Raw genomic sequence first — 15,040 nt, forward strand, 5'->3', positions numbered from 1 at the left:
GTCTGGGGTGGTAGATGAGACTATCAAATAAGAGTGAGAACAAATTGATTTTCTTTTCTTTCTTTTCTTTTCTCTTTCCCTCAATTTCCTTCTTCCTCTCTTTCTTTCTTTTTTCCTTTTTTACAAAGTAATTCCGGCTGAAGGGGAGGGGTGGATTCTTCCTTCTTCCTGCCCCCACCTCGAATTTCCAGAATCTACTCTGTCTCGTTAAGATCACTGCCTCTGTCCTGGTTGCTCTGAGTTTTATACGTAAAGAGAATAGTGGACAAGAGGGAGGAAGATGAGGTAAGCTGTATTGAGAGACAGAAAGAGGCTTCCCAGGGACTCTGTGTGTGTTAGTGTGCACATGTGTGCGTGTGTTGAAAAGAAAATCAAATTCACAGGCTGGGAAGGAAGAGGAGGGGGAGAAGCAACAGGCCCAGCCAGTCGTGTCTCTTTAAGCAAGATAAGCCCCCTGGCCCATCCATCTCTCCTGACACTATCGGCCTGTTGTCTAAAGTACTTACAGTTCTCTCCGGGGGGGAGGAGGCCTGACCTGGAGATGCTGGGGGAGGGGAGGAAGTAGGGCCTCTAGGACAGGGCACCCTGGCTGGCCCACTTCCCCAAAGAGCAGGGACGCCTTGCAGACTGAGGAGGTCACCCCTCCCCTCCTCCACCCTCAGTCTGGCCTGTTTTTAGCTCAACCCTGAGTGCTGGAAAGATGGGCTGGTGCTGGCTCCCTACCTGGGGCCCCATTCCCAGGGGAATGGAACCACTTGAAACTGCAACTTGTCTTTCTCAAGTGGCCGGGAGAGAGTGTGAGCCCCAAGATAGAGAGAGTGAGCAGAAGGGAAAGGCCAAACCAACCTCAGCTCTCCTGCCTTTAATGGGTCCTTTAAAAATTCACTGTGATTCTTACTACCCTATGAAATAGACATGATTATCCTTTAAAAATCCTTTATATGACTAAATAGGTATGAGTATGCTCCCTGTCTCAGAGATACACTGAGACCCAGAAAAGTTAAATATCTTGACTGGGTTCACAGAGCTAATCAGAAGCGTTGGGTAGGATTAGGACTTGGACTTCTCTAAATTACAAAACTGGTGGGGCGTGGGGGCTCACAGCTGTGATCCCAGCACTTTGGGAGGCTGAGGCGAGTGGATCAGTGGAGGTCAGGAGTTTGAGACCAGCCTGGCCAACATGGCAAAAACCCCATCTCTACTAAAAATAGAAAAAATTAGCCGGGCATGGTGGCAGGCACCTATAATCCCAGCTACTCAAGAGGCTGAGGCAGGAGAATCGCTTGAACCCAGAAGGCAGAGGTTGCAGTGAGTCGAGATTGCGCCACTGCACCACTCCAGCCTGGGTGACAGAGCAATAATCTGCCTCAAAAAAAATGATAATAAAAATAAAATAAATTCCAAAGCCGACTTCTGGCCTCTAACCAGGGTATTTCTTGCATCTCCTCTGTGATAAGAAATCGTGTCGTGAATGATTGGTCTGAATTGATGTTTTCAAAGATCATTGGCTTAACCAGACTTTAGTCAGGTGTCTGAATCTTTTCCTGGGCCAATCTGTGTACTTCCTTGTAAAATCCATCTTTAGCAAGAGCCCTGCTAAGTCAGGTTAGCCAGTATCTTCACGCTGCATATCTGATCACTCTCTGTATCTGATCCCTCTTCATATGTGACCAGGTTCCTCACCCTCCACCACTCCCCAGGTGATGTCTGACCACCCTGGTCTGTCTTCAGCAAGACTCCTGTTAGGTCAGTTTAGCCAGAATCGCCCTGAGCCCTAATGCTTCCTTTCAGTAATATTCCATCCACTGACCCCCAACCCTGCTTCTTGGCTATAAATTCCCACTTGCTCATGCTGTATTCAGAGTTGAGCCCAGTCTCTCTCCCCCACTGCAAAATTCCATCACACTGGTCCCTGCACCTATTGTGATCGTTCCCCCACCTTGAACAGGCTGCTTTGCCATCTTGAACAATCATCATGAATGATTTTTTTTTTAATTTCAACTTCTATTTTAGATATGGGGTACATGTTCAAATTTGTTACATGGGAATATTGCGTGATGCTGATGGTACCGATCCCATCACACAGGTAGTGAGCACAGCACCCAGTAGGTAGTTTTTCAACCCATGCTTCCCTCCCTCCCTCCCTCCCCTCTCTAGTAGTCCACTGTGCCTATTGTTCCCATGTTTATATCCATGTATGCTCAATGTTTAGCCCCTCCTTAGAAGTTAGAACATGTGGTATTTGGTTTTCTGTTGCTGTATTAATTCATTTAGGATTATGGCCTCCAACAGCATCCATGTTTCTGCAAAGGACATGATTTTATTCTTTTTATGGCTGCCTAGTATTCCATGGTGTATATGCACTGCATTTTCTTGATCCTATCTACCATCGATGGACACCTGGGTTGATTCCATGTCTTTGCTATTGTGAATAGTGCTGTGATGAACATATGAGTGCAGGTGTCTTTTGGTAAAATGATTTGTTTTCCTTTAGGTATTTACCCAGTAATGGCATTGCTGGGTCAAATGGTAGCTCTATTTTAAGTTCTTTGAGAAATCTCCAGACAGCTTTCCACAGTGGCTGAACTAATCTACATTCCCACCAACAGTGTATAAGCGTTCCGTTTTTCCACAGCCTCACCAGCACTGTTGTCTTTTTACTTTTTAATAGTAGCTATTCTGACTGGTGTGAGATGGTATCTCGTTGTGGTTTTGACTTTCATTCCTCTGATGATTAGAGACGATGAGCATGTTTTCATATGTTTGTTGGCCATGTGTATGTCTTCTTTTGAGAAGTGTCTGTTCATGTCCTTTGCCCATTTTTTAATGGGGTCGTTTTTTCTTGTCGATTTGTTTAAGTTTCTTATAGATTGTGGATATTAGGACTTTGTCAGATGCATACTTTGTGAATATTTCTCCCATTCTGTAGGCTATCTGTGTACTCTATTGATAGTTTCTTTTGCTGTGCAGAAGCTCTTTAGTTTAATGAAGTCCCATTTGTCAATTTTTATTTCTGCTGCAATTGCTTTTGGAGGACATGGCCAAAAATTCTTGGCCAAGATCAGTGTTAAGAAGAGCATTTCCTAGGTTGTCTTCTAGGATTTTTATAATTTGAGGTCTTACCTCTAAATCTTTGATCCATCTTGAGTTAATTTTTGTATACAGTGAGAGGTAGTGGTTCAGCTTCAATCTTCTGCATGTGGGTAGCCAGTTATCCTAGCACCATTTATTGAATAAGATGTCCTTTTTCCATTGCTTTTGTTCATTTGTTTCTTTGTTTGTTTTATTTTTATGAGACAGAGTCTTGCTCTGTCACCCAGGCTGGAGTACAGTGGCAGGATCTCAGCTCACTGCAACCTCCACCTCCCAGGTTTCAGCGATTCTCCTGTCTCAGCCTCCTGAGTAGCTGAGATTACAGGTGCCCACCACCACACCTGGCTAATTTTTGTATTTTCAGTAGAGATGTGGCTTTGCCATGTTGGCCAGGATAGTCTCAAACTCCTGACCTCAGGTGATCCACCCACCTTGGCCTCCCAAAGTGCTGGGATTACAGGTGTGAGCCACTGCACCTGGCCCCATTGCTTGTTTTTGTTGGCCTTGTCAAAGATCAGATGGCTGTAGCTGTGCTGTTTTATTTCTGGGTTTCCTCTTCTATTCCATTGATGAATGATGTTTTTCTTTAATGACGTTTAGCCATTCATTCTTCATTCATTCAACAAACATTGCTTGCAAATCACCTCTGTGACAGGCTCATCTCTGAGTACAGGTGATAAAGACCTGGTCTCAATTGCTGACCAATTTCTATTAATGTCTGCCTAGATTAAAAGACCTGCAGGCCGGGCGCAGTGGCTCATGCCTATAATCCCAGCACTTTGGGAGGCCAAGGTGGGTGGATCATGAGGTCAGCAGATCGAGACGATCCTGGCCAACATGGTGAGACCCTGTCTTTACTAAAAATACAAAAATTAGCTGGGCATGGCAGCATGTGCCCGTAATCCCACATACTCAGGAGGCTGAGGCAGGAGAATTGCTTGAACCTGGGAGGTGGAGGTTCCAGTGAGTTGAGATCGTGCGACTGAACTCCAGCCTGGCTGGAGAGCTAGACTCCACCAAAAGAAAAAAAAAAACCCTGCAGAAGGAGCAGAAAACCAAATATCACATGCTATCCCTTATAAGTGGGAGCTAAAAGATGAGAACTCATGGATACCAAGAGGGGAACAACAGACACTGGAGCAGTGGAGGGCGGGAGGAGGAGAGGAGAAGAAAAAATAACTACTGGGCACTGAGAGCTTAGTACCTGGGTGATGAAATAATCTGTACAACAAAGTCCCATGATATGAGTTTACCTATATAACAAACTTGTACATGTACCCCTAAGCCTAAAAGTTAAAAATTAATTAATTTTAAAAATGTTTTGATCAATAAAAATAATTTAAGCCTTAAAAAAAAGACCTGCAGAGACCTTGTATATTAGTCAGCGTTCTCTAGAGAGAAAGGACTAATAGGATAGATGTAAATATGAAACAGAGTTTATTAAGGAGTATTGACTCACAGGATCATGAGGTTAAGTCCCACAATAGGCCATCTGCAAGCTGAGGAACAAGAAAGCCAGTCTGAGTCACAAAACCTCAAAAGCAGGGAAGCCAACAGTGAAGCCAACAGTGTAGCCTTCAGTCTGTGGCCAAAGGCCCAAGAGCCCCTGGCAAACCACTGGTGTAAGTCCAAGAGTCCAAAAGTTGAAGAACTTGGAGTGTGATATTCAAGGGCAGGAAGCGTCCAGCATGGAAGAAAGAGGATCAGAAGACTTAGCCAGTCTAGTCTCTCCATGTTCCTCTGCTTCCTTTTATCCTATCCACATGGGCAGCTGATCAGATGGTGCCCACCCAGACTGAGGTTCGGTTTGCCTCTCCCAGTACGCTGTCTCAAATGTCATTCTCCTTTGGCAACACCTCACAGACACACCCAGGAACAATACTTTGCATTCTTCAATCTAATCAAGTTAACACTCAATATTAACCATCACACCTTGATAACCAGCCCTTACCATTTTGGCCCCAAAACACTACATTTCCCCAAATTGTGACTTGGGATTTTGTAGCACATCTAGGGAACCCAGGAGAAACAGTCCTATTATCTTTGCTGTTGGGTTTACCACGATGGTATCATGAAAAACATCATCAAAACATTACTCAGCACTGCAACATCTTTACAAGAACCCAAGGGAGAACTTGCTCCTGGTTTTTTGCAAACATCTCGATTTGTTTGTCTTTTATGAACTCATGAGCTCTTATAGCTGACTATAATTCTCAACTTGTTTTGGCAGCTAGGAAGCTCAGAGCCAAATATATTTCTATTAACTACACAGAATGTTCCAGTTCTGAAGGCTAAGAAGTAAAATACCCTAAAACTTCATGGCGTAAGCAAAATACCCTAAAACTTCATGGTGTAAAACAACCATTTATTATGCCTTTGGATTCTGAGGTTGGCGATTTAGACAGGGCATAACAGGGGCAACTTGTCTCTGGACCATGATGTTGAGACTTGAGGATGGAATAATCTGAAGGCTTTTCACTCACATGGCTGATGGTGGATGTTGGGTTTAGGCTAGGGGTTTCAACTCCTTGACACGTAGTCCTCTCCTGTGGTCTCTCCCTGTGGGCTAGTTTGGGCTTCCTCACAGCATGGTGGCTGGGTTTCCAACAGCAAGTGTTCCAAAGGGGGGAAATTAGGTGGAAGTTGTACCACCTTTTTATGATCTAGCTTCAGAAGGGTTGCAGACTGAGGAGGTAACCCCCATTTCCCCCAGCCTAGTGCCTGGTCTATTTTTATCTCAGCTCTTAGTGCTGGGTAACATTAACCCCCTACTACATCCTATCTGTCAGAAGTAAGCTGCTGGATCCCACCCATAATGAAGTGAAGAATCACATTCCACCCCTTGATAGACACATCCATGTTCTGAAGGAGAAGGAGTGTAAAAATACTGCTGTGGCCCTTTTGAAAAATAATGCCACACAAGACCAAATGGAACTCATTGATAGGTGCTCATTATTCTTGGCTTTATCACTATTTTGTACATTGTCGTCTTTGTGGGTGGCATGTATTTTTGCAAGCAGCCTCAAATTATTTATGGAAATAGGTAAAAAGTAGACAACAGCTGGGACCAAAGCTGTTTTCTGAGTATTTGTAATGTGCTTGGCACTGTGCAAATAGTTCTTTCCTGGTGCCTTCACTCATTTAATTCACAAACAGCCTCTTATCAATATTTTGCAAGTGAAGAAACTGGAGCACAGGAAATTAAAGTTTACCAGATCTGACATCACTGAATAGTGGCAGAGGTGGGGTTCGATTCCAGGCCGTCTGATTAGCTCTGCCCAGGTAGTCACCTCATACACCTTCATTCTTATCTTTTGAGCCTTACTCCACACCAAGGGTCTGACTTGGTGTTGTAACATGAAGGTTACTCAAGATTTACCCCTCTCCTCTGCAAAACATCTCCGCCGACCACCAAGTGTTCTGAAACGCCACTTTTGCCAGGAAATAAGAGTATTCAGTGACTCCTGCATATTCATCAAAATTAGCATTCTCTCCAACTTAGATCAGCCAGCCTGAGGGAAACGAGGCAGAATGTGTCTGAGCACCCACTTCTGGCCCAGCCCTGAGCTAATGCTCACAAATCAGAAAACAAAGCAGTCCACGTCACACTGGGCTGAGATCTACTTGAGGGCAGGGATTGGGGTTGTTCGGCTTTGTAGTTTGGCACATTACAAAATGTATCTAGTATGGTGAATGAAGAAAGTGAAAGTGTTTGTCTATCCCAAGAATGAGACCTTAGGTAAGTGACAACCCTGTAAGCTTCCATTTCCTCATCCATAAAACAGGGATAAGAATATTTTCCTACACACCTCACAGGGCTATATTGGGAATCCTTTAACTGAGTAGGTCTCCCTCTGGCTCTGACTTCCAAAAAGCTTAAAGGCAGTTTTGAGACCTATGCATGATAATCATATAAAATGCTTAGCATGTAATCAGCCCAAAATAAACAGGGCTTTGGGAGCACTCCGGGTCTTCTGCTCCACACCCCATTATAGTTGATGGCAAAGGGGAAGAAAAGATTGAGTGAAGTCATTGGTCTTCTCCCTTCCCCACCTCTGAAAAGGGCAGCCTCAGTGCAATGGGATGGAAACTCGGGCTTTGGTGTTTCAAGAACTAATGGAAATCTCCTGAAAACCTATTTTTGTAAACCTTTGATCCTTCAAGCCAAGATCTTCGGGCCAAATGTCTGAGTTAGTGGATCTAACCAAATGCAGTCAATGATGCTCAGAGGTTGCAGCCTCTTTGGGGTGTGCCTAGTGGAGGGGTGTTGAGTGAGCAGGTGGGGATAGCAACCTATTTGCAGAACACAAGAAGTTAGCTCCAATGGCCAGGTGTTGCTTTGTCTTTCTTGGCCCAATTAGCACTGACTGCTATTTTTATTTTTGATGTAGGATGTGGCTGGTGAGTCAGGAAGAAAAGGGCGCCTCATTATTTGTTCCTTGCTTGCTCTTGGAAATATCAAGAATACTTGGCCCTCAAGACAAACCCCAGCTCTGGGCCTAAAAGCTAAGTTATATGTTATATATTTATTCAAGGCAGCAATTGGCCAGGAAACGACTATAAAACACACATTTTGAATAAAAGAGGGAGATTTATGGTGCAATGGCGAATCTGAGTCATATCTCTCTGCCTCCCCCAGGCCAGGATCCCTTAATCACTAACATACCCCCAGCTTGTACACTCGGTGGGCACAGAATTGCTTCCTTCTGGTCCCGTCCCTGCTAAAGATGTGATGGGGATTGTGCTACTTCATCTGACAGTCGGTAAATGAATTGCCAATTCATTCTGAGCTTAGATGGGGGCTGGTTTTTTCCTTGGGAAGAAAAAAAAGTGGGGTTCTTTCATATGTATCTTTGATCAGTCGGGACTTGACAAATTATTTTCCTAGGAATTTCTCTATCCATAATGCCACTGGGAAAAAATGGATTTACTCTAAAAGAATAGCTTTTATGTTTCAGAAATTAGAGCAATGTAAAAGCTTTTACTGAGTTCCTTTCTCTCTCTCTCTCTCTTTTCTCCCTTCAATTGTATTTTTCTCTAGAGCAAGGAGACAGGTAGCAGAAAGAGCTAGAAAAGTCCACTGATAATAGCTAGGTTTCTGGCTGCTTGTTTCAAGTGTATGAAAGTAGCAAGAAAATAAGTCTCAACTTCCTTATACAATTGGTATTGAGAAAGCAAAGTCAAATCTTCTACCCCAATTTTCCCTTGTAGTAGCTGAATTTTTCTCATTAGAACTCTTGTTTTTGGACAAACTTTAACCTGAAGAATATCTGAATTGTATTTCAGCAGGATGCAACCACGCCACAACTATCTCATTCCCAGGGCTTAGATATTAACTTACAAAAGGCAAAGGGCTGGGACAGAAGATCTTGAAGTTATTTTCATATCAAAGTTTTTATCAGCTATAGAACAACCTGAAAGAAGAGAATGTATCGAAAATACAATGGCACAGAACCACATGAACAGTTGGGTGGGTTGTGCACTGCGCAACTCCAAGAGGCACCATTGAGATGGACTATCAGTGTGAGTGACTTACCCTTAGGATTGTGCTGTGCACAAGCTGTAAAACTGTGAATGAAAGATTTGAAAGGGAACTCAAAGATAATCATAACAAAGGGCAATCTTGGGGATCTGGATCAGAGGAACTAAAAAGAGTTTTGTTAGGGACTAAATGAGCACCAGTAGTTTTGGTCTGTTTATTTCTCCACTCAAGATTCTCTCTCTGGGAAAGAAAGTCTATAAGCTGCCATGAGTCAGCTACTCCTAGCCCCTTGTCTAAGGAGGAGAAAGCTCTCTGGTTAACAGCTTTGCTTTCTTATTAAAGCATACCCTGAGATGAGGATTTGGATGCAGCATTTTATTTGGATAAGGGGTTGGGAAATGAGACGAGGAAGGGAAGGAAGCCAATGTGTTATGATAGTAATGTGCTAATGAGTAGGTCACCTCTGTGTGCAACTGAGGCTTGCTTGCAACTGATCCCTGCTGGAGACCCTCTGAAAGTGTGTGGAACATGCTAAAAATTTTCCCACCAAGGGGACAGAAGGCTTGGATATTTACATACCAACTCCCATCTCTCATTACTTGGGGGACACTCTAGGAGGCCTTAATTCTCTGGCATTTATAGCCTGACCCACACACAAGCCAATTACACATTTGTGGCCAGAGAAAGACCTCAGGCAGAGAGACATAGATGCTGGAGGTAGGAAGTCATTGGCCTGCATGGGAGCTACACACTGAAGCTGCAGGAGACCTGGAGGATGGGCCCAGCAGATAGGACCAGGCACTGACAACATCTGCGTACCTGCCAAGATCAGTCATAAAAAGAGAAAGATAAATGCCTCCCACCAAAACAATTGGGGTGGCATCTCCAAAAGAAGAGGAAATGGATTCAGGGAAGTCACAAGGCACCCAATGGCAGTCACGCAAGAGTTCCAGAACAAGTACAATTTTGCCCAGGTTTTTGCCCCATCTCTGCCACTAAACAGCCCTATGACCTTGAGCAAGTCACTGACTCCACTCTGGAGATACTCAGGCCTCAGTTTCCCCTTCTCAAAACTCTGTAGAAGATAATATCTGACATTTCCAGGGGCCTCAGACCCTGGGGATAAAAACAGGGACTCCTCTCCCAGTGGTTTTGGAGTTGTAACATAAAGCAAAGGCTAAGTGAATTGCTCTCCAGCATGAGACATCCACTAAGTGTCTGTCCCACTTCATCAGATGGGGGTTGAGAGTTCACATCACAGCTGAGCTCAGAATTTGCCTGCAACAGGAAGGACCTTAGATGGGAGAGCTCGTGTGGGGTCTTAAAAAGCAGAGCTGAGGCTTCCCTAAAGAGAAAGAAGAAATTATGCCTGTGGACAGCAGCTTTGGCCATACCTGAGAGTCACAGCCTGCCAGTTACCGACTGAATTTTGCCCAGCCCCCACTGCCAAAAATTCATATGTTGAAGCCCCAACCCTCAATATGACTGTAGTAGAAGATGGGGCCTTAAGGAGGTAATGAAGGTCAAGTGAGGTCATAAGAGGGTTCCCTAATCTTACAGAAAGAGGGAGAGATGCCAGATCTCTCTCTCTCTCTTCTCTCTCTCTCTGTCTCTCTCTCCTTCCCACCCTCATGTGCCCACAGAGAAGAGACCATGTGAGGAGACAGCCAGAAGGTACATTTATACCATGGAATACTACTCAGTGATTTAAAAAAAAAATGAATGAGCTATTAATACACCCAATGCCTTGGATGAATCTAAAGGGAATTATGCTGAATGAAAAAAAGCCAACCGCCCAAAACTTATATACTGTATAGTTCTATTTATGTAACATTCTTGAAATAGTCCTATTTATATAACATTCTTGTCATTTATATAACATTCTCTATAGTTCTATTTATATAACATTCTTGGATAAAATTATAGAAATGAACAGATTAATTAGTGGTTGTCTGGGGTTAGAAATAGGGTTGCAGGGGTTGTATGTGGTTATAAAAGAGTAACACGAGAGATCGTTTTGGTGATGGAAATGTTCTGTGTTTTGACTGTGGTAGAAGATACTACATGTGTGATAAAATTGCATGGCACTAAATGCACACACCCACAAGTGAGTACAAATAAACTGGAGAAATCTGCATAATATTGGTGGTTGTACCAGTGTTAATATCCTCATTGTGCTAAGGTTTTGCAAGGTATTATGATATATGGGTAAAGGGTATATGGGATTTCTCTGTGTTTTCTTACAACTGCATGTGAATCTACACTTATTTCAAAATAAAAAGTTTAAGAGAGGCTGGGCACGGTGGCTCGCACCTGTAATCCCACCACTTTGGGAAGCAGAGGCAGGTGGATCACTGGAGGCTAGGAGTTTGAGACCAGCCTGGGCAACATGGCGAAACCCCGTCTCTACTAAAAACACACAAAAAAATTAGCCAGGCATGGTGGCGCGTACCTGTAATCCCAGCTACTTGGGAAGCTGAAGCATGAGAATCGCTTGAACCTGGGAGGCGGAGGTTGCAGTGAGCCAAGATTGGGCCACTGCACTCCAGGCTGGGTGTCTCAAAAAAAAAAAAAGAAAAGAAAAGAAAGAAAGCTTAAGAAAAAGGGAGAGAATACAATGAGGCTGGTCAAGGAAGGCCTAGTAAGAGCTGGTAAGACCCTGCCTTAGTTTGGGCTCACCCTGAGGGCAGGATTTGGGAGGACTTGGAAGGTGATCTCGGGGAGGAAGAAGGATGAAAGGAGAAAAAGCCAAGTGATTGAGTTATTGAGCTGATTACCACTGTGTGCAACCAGAGTGCAGGCCTCTGAGGACCCTCTGAGGAATTGTGTAGAATGTACCTCCAAACTGTCCCTCCAAAGGACAGGAGGCTGAGGCCTCTATCCACCAACTCCCCACCCACTCTACAGAGAGTGTTCCCAGAGTCATTATTTCTGGGCTGTGCCTGCATTCAGGCCGAGGGAGCCTCTCATCTTTAGAGATAGCCCTGCTGCAGAAAAACAGATTTGTGGTGGAGCTCAAGGTGGGATGCTGTCAGCATGCACTGAGCCTTCTGCCCTATGTCTGAAATTAGAGGTGGGCAGAGAGGATGCAAGACATAGCACAGGAATCCTCTGCTACAGCAACCTCGACATGTAGAACCCTGTCCTCCAATGAGCACATCTGGTGAGTCATTCTTAATCCATTTATTCAGATCATAGTGAACACCTTCCAGGGTGAAAATACAAGCAATTAATACTGGATCAATCCTGCCTCCATGAAGCTCTCTTGGTCCCAGGAAAATATCTACAGTTCAATAAATGAGAAGATCCCAGTACTTTGAGAGGCCGAGGTGGGAGGATCACTTGAGCTCAGGAGTTCAAGACCAGACTGGGCAACATGATGATACTCCATCTCTACAAAAAAAAGAAAAAAAAGAAAAGGAAGGAAGGAAGAAAGGTAGGCAGGCAGGCAGGCAGGAAGGAAGGAAGGAATGTTAACTGTGATTAATGTTTAAAAAAAAAACAAAAGAGAGAAGATTCTCCTAATTCGTTATGTCATGAGGTTGTGTCATGAGGATGGCAAAGTCTTCCTGAGGGAAGTTATAGTTTTTAAGCCTCTGTTATTAAATGTGTAGAGAGGGCCAGATGCCCTGCTGATTGCTTTACATAAACTCTCTCCTTTTATCACTACCTCAGGCCTGCAAAGTGGATCTTACCACTTCCACTTTGCAGAGATGGAAACTGAGGTTTGGGGCAAGTGAATAATTTGCTCACACACTAGAGGGCTAGCTGGGCTTCCAAGACCAGGAAGGCAGTCTTTAGCCACAAGATTACAAATCCTCCTTTACTTGTCCTGACGTTGACATCTCCAAGGACATGCCACCCAAAAGCACTGCTCTGTCACACTCCAGCCACCATCTCCCTCTGTCCCTCCCTCTCTTAGGCCCATGGGAAAGGACAGAGATGACATGAATCATTCCATCCCCTAAAGGAGTCTTGGCAGCGTGGAATGGAAGACAAGCCACCATGAGCTGGGTAACACTGGACAATCACCATGTTGCTTGGTATAGGGACTAGCACATGGTACATAAATGAAAGCTATTATTGCTATTGCCACTACTATTATCAACACTGGAGGGACATCAGTAAAATATCAAAACTCTGCCAGGAACAATCTTCAACTTGCACACCAGGCTGTCTCCTCCACCCCAACACTCACAGTTTCAGGAACTGGAACCAAGTATGCCTAAACCAACATATTCACTAGGATTAACATGCATGACTTCTTTCTAAGTGGAATAATAATGAATTCTGGCCAGGCGAGTGGGCTTCTGCCTGTAATCCCAGTGACTCAGGAGGCTGAGGCAGGCAGATTGCTTGAGGCCAGGAGTTCAAGACCAGCCTAGGCAATATAGTGAGAACTCACCTCTTAAAAAAATAATAATAATAATTAGCCAGGTATGGTAGTGCGCACCTATAGTCTCAGCTATGCGAGAGGCTAAAGTGAGAGGATCACTTGAGAGCTCAGGAGGCTGAGGCTGCAGTGAGTTGGCACTGCACTCCAGCAGCATGGGCAACAAAGCAAGATCCCATCTCTAAAAAAAAAAAAAAAAAGGAGTTCTGAAGTTGAAGTCAGAAAAGAAAAGGTGAGGTGCTGATAATCAGTCTTTAGAGACATAAAACCTACTCTTCCTTCTTTGTGGCCACCAAGGTCCAAAGTTGACAGTCACTTACAAAAGCAGCTATTTATTTTATTTTATTATTTTTAGAGAGAGAGGGTCTCCCTCTGTCACTCAGGCTGGAGTGCAGTGGCTCAGTCATAGCTCACTGGAACTTGCAACTCTTGGACTCAAGCAATCCTCCTGCCTCAGCCTTCCAAATAGCTAGGACTACAGGTGCATACCACCATGCCTGGCTAATTTAAAATTTTTTATAGAGATGAGGTTTCGCTATGTTGCCCAGGCTGGTCTTGAACTCCTGGCCTCAAGCTATCCTCTTGCCTCAGCCTCCCAAAGTGCTGAGATTATAGGTGTGGGCCATTAGCCACTGCACCTGGCCTAAAGTCAGATATTTAAATAAGATTTAAGATGATGCCTGTGGGAAAGCTATGTTTTAATTATTGTTGAAAGTGATGATACTGATGATGGTAGTGGTGGTGGCAGTGGTGGTGAGGATGTTGATGGTGATGTTTTCTAGCCTCTACTGAGCTTAGGTGTATTATAAAAATAGTAGAAGACTATAGGGGCAAATTTTCCAACAGAGAAGAAAGAGGAGAAAGACAAGAAGCAGCAGCATTAATAATTATAAATCCGGCTGGGCATGGTGACTCACGCCTGTAATCCAAGGACTTTGAGAGGCCAAGGCTAGTGGATCACCTGAGGTCAGGAGTTTGAGACCAGCCTGACCAACATGGAGAAACCCTGTCTCTACTAAAAATACAAAATTAACTGGGCGTGGTGGCACATGCCTATAATCCCAGCTACTCAGGAGGCTGAGGCAGGAGAATTGCTTGAACACGGGAGGCGTGGGTTTCAGTGAGCCGAGATCGCACCATTGCACTCCAGGCTGGGCAAGAAGAGCAAAATTCCATCTCCAAAAAAAAAAAAAAAAATTATAAATCCTAGTTAATGTTTTCATGAGCTAACAGCTGTTGCGCATTTTCTCTATACCAGCTGATATGGTTTGGCTGTGTCCCCACCCCAATCTCATCTTGAATTGTAGCTCCCATAATCCCCACGTGTCCTGGGAGGGACCCAGTGGGAGATAATTGAATCATGGGGGTGGGTCTTTCCCATGCTGTTCTCGTGATAGTGAATAAGTCTCACAAGATCTGATGGTTTTATAAAGGGCAGTTCCCCTACACAAGCTCCCTGTACTCCCACCATGTAAGACGGGCTTTTGCTCCACCTTTCACCATGATTGTGAGGCCTCCCCAGCCATGTGGAACTGTGAGTCCATCAAACCTCTTTTTCTTTATAAATTACCCAGTCTCAGGTATGTCTTTATTAGCAGCTGAGAACAGACTAATACACCAGGCTCTGTGCTAAGCACTTTATGCTCATTGTCTCACTGAATCCTCAGACAAACGAGGAATCTCTGGGATAAATACTTGTAGTAACCCCATTTTACATATGATCAAATGGAAGGTCAAAGAGGTTAAGAGACTTGCCCAAGGTCACAAAGGCAGTAAATGACAGAGTGAATTTTATAACCCAGTTCAATTAGAGAACAAAGGTGAGATAAATGAGTGCCTGATTCAATACGTGTGTTGTGTTTATTAAAAGGGAATAATAGCTCATCCCAGGACCATAGCCTAACCTCCCAAGAGGACCAAGAAAGTACATGTACCCCAAAACTTAAAGTATAATAATAATAAAATTAAAAAAAAAAAGAAAAGAAAGCACACAAGTAGCAATCTCAGAAAGTGAAGACAAAGAGAAGTATCCAGCCATCACCTTGTTTTTGAGTTGAATATGGAGCATTCCA

At 44.0% G+C, this 15,040-nt stretch overlaps 1 annotated feature.

The window, feature by feature from the left end:
• Positions 628-1,128: an enhancer, noted in NCBI's record as "NANOG-H3K4me1 hESC enhancer chr12:114773645-114774145 (GRCh37/hg19 assembly coordinates)". NCBI's record gives its function as "activates a minimal SCP1, AML or CMV promoter by ChIP-STARR-seq in primed H9 embryonic stem cells {active_cell/tissue: H9 hESC(primed)}" and the evidence as "EXISTENCE:reporter gene assay evidence [ECO:0000049][PMID:30033119]".

Source organism: Homo sapiens, chromosome 12 (assembly GCF_000001405.40).
Source record: "Homo sapiens chromosome 12, GRCh38.p14 Primary Assembly".
Taxonomy (NCBI): Eukaryota; Metazoa; Chordata; class Mammalia; order Primates; family Hominidae; genus Homo; species Homo sapiens.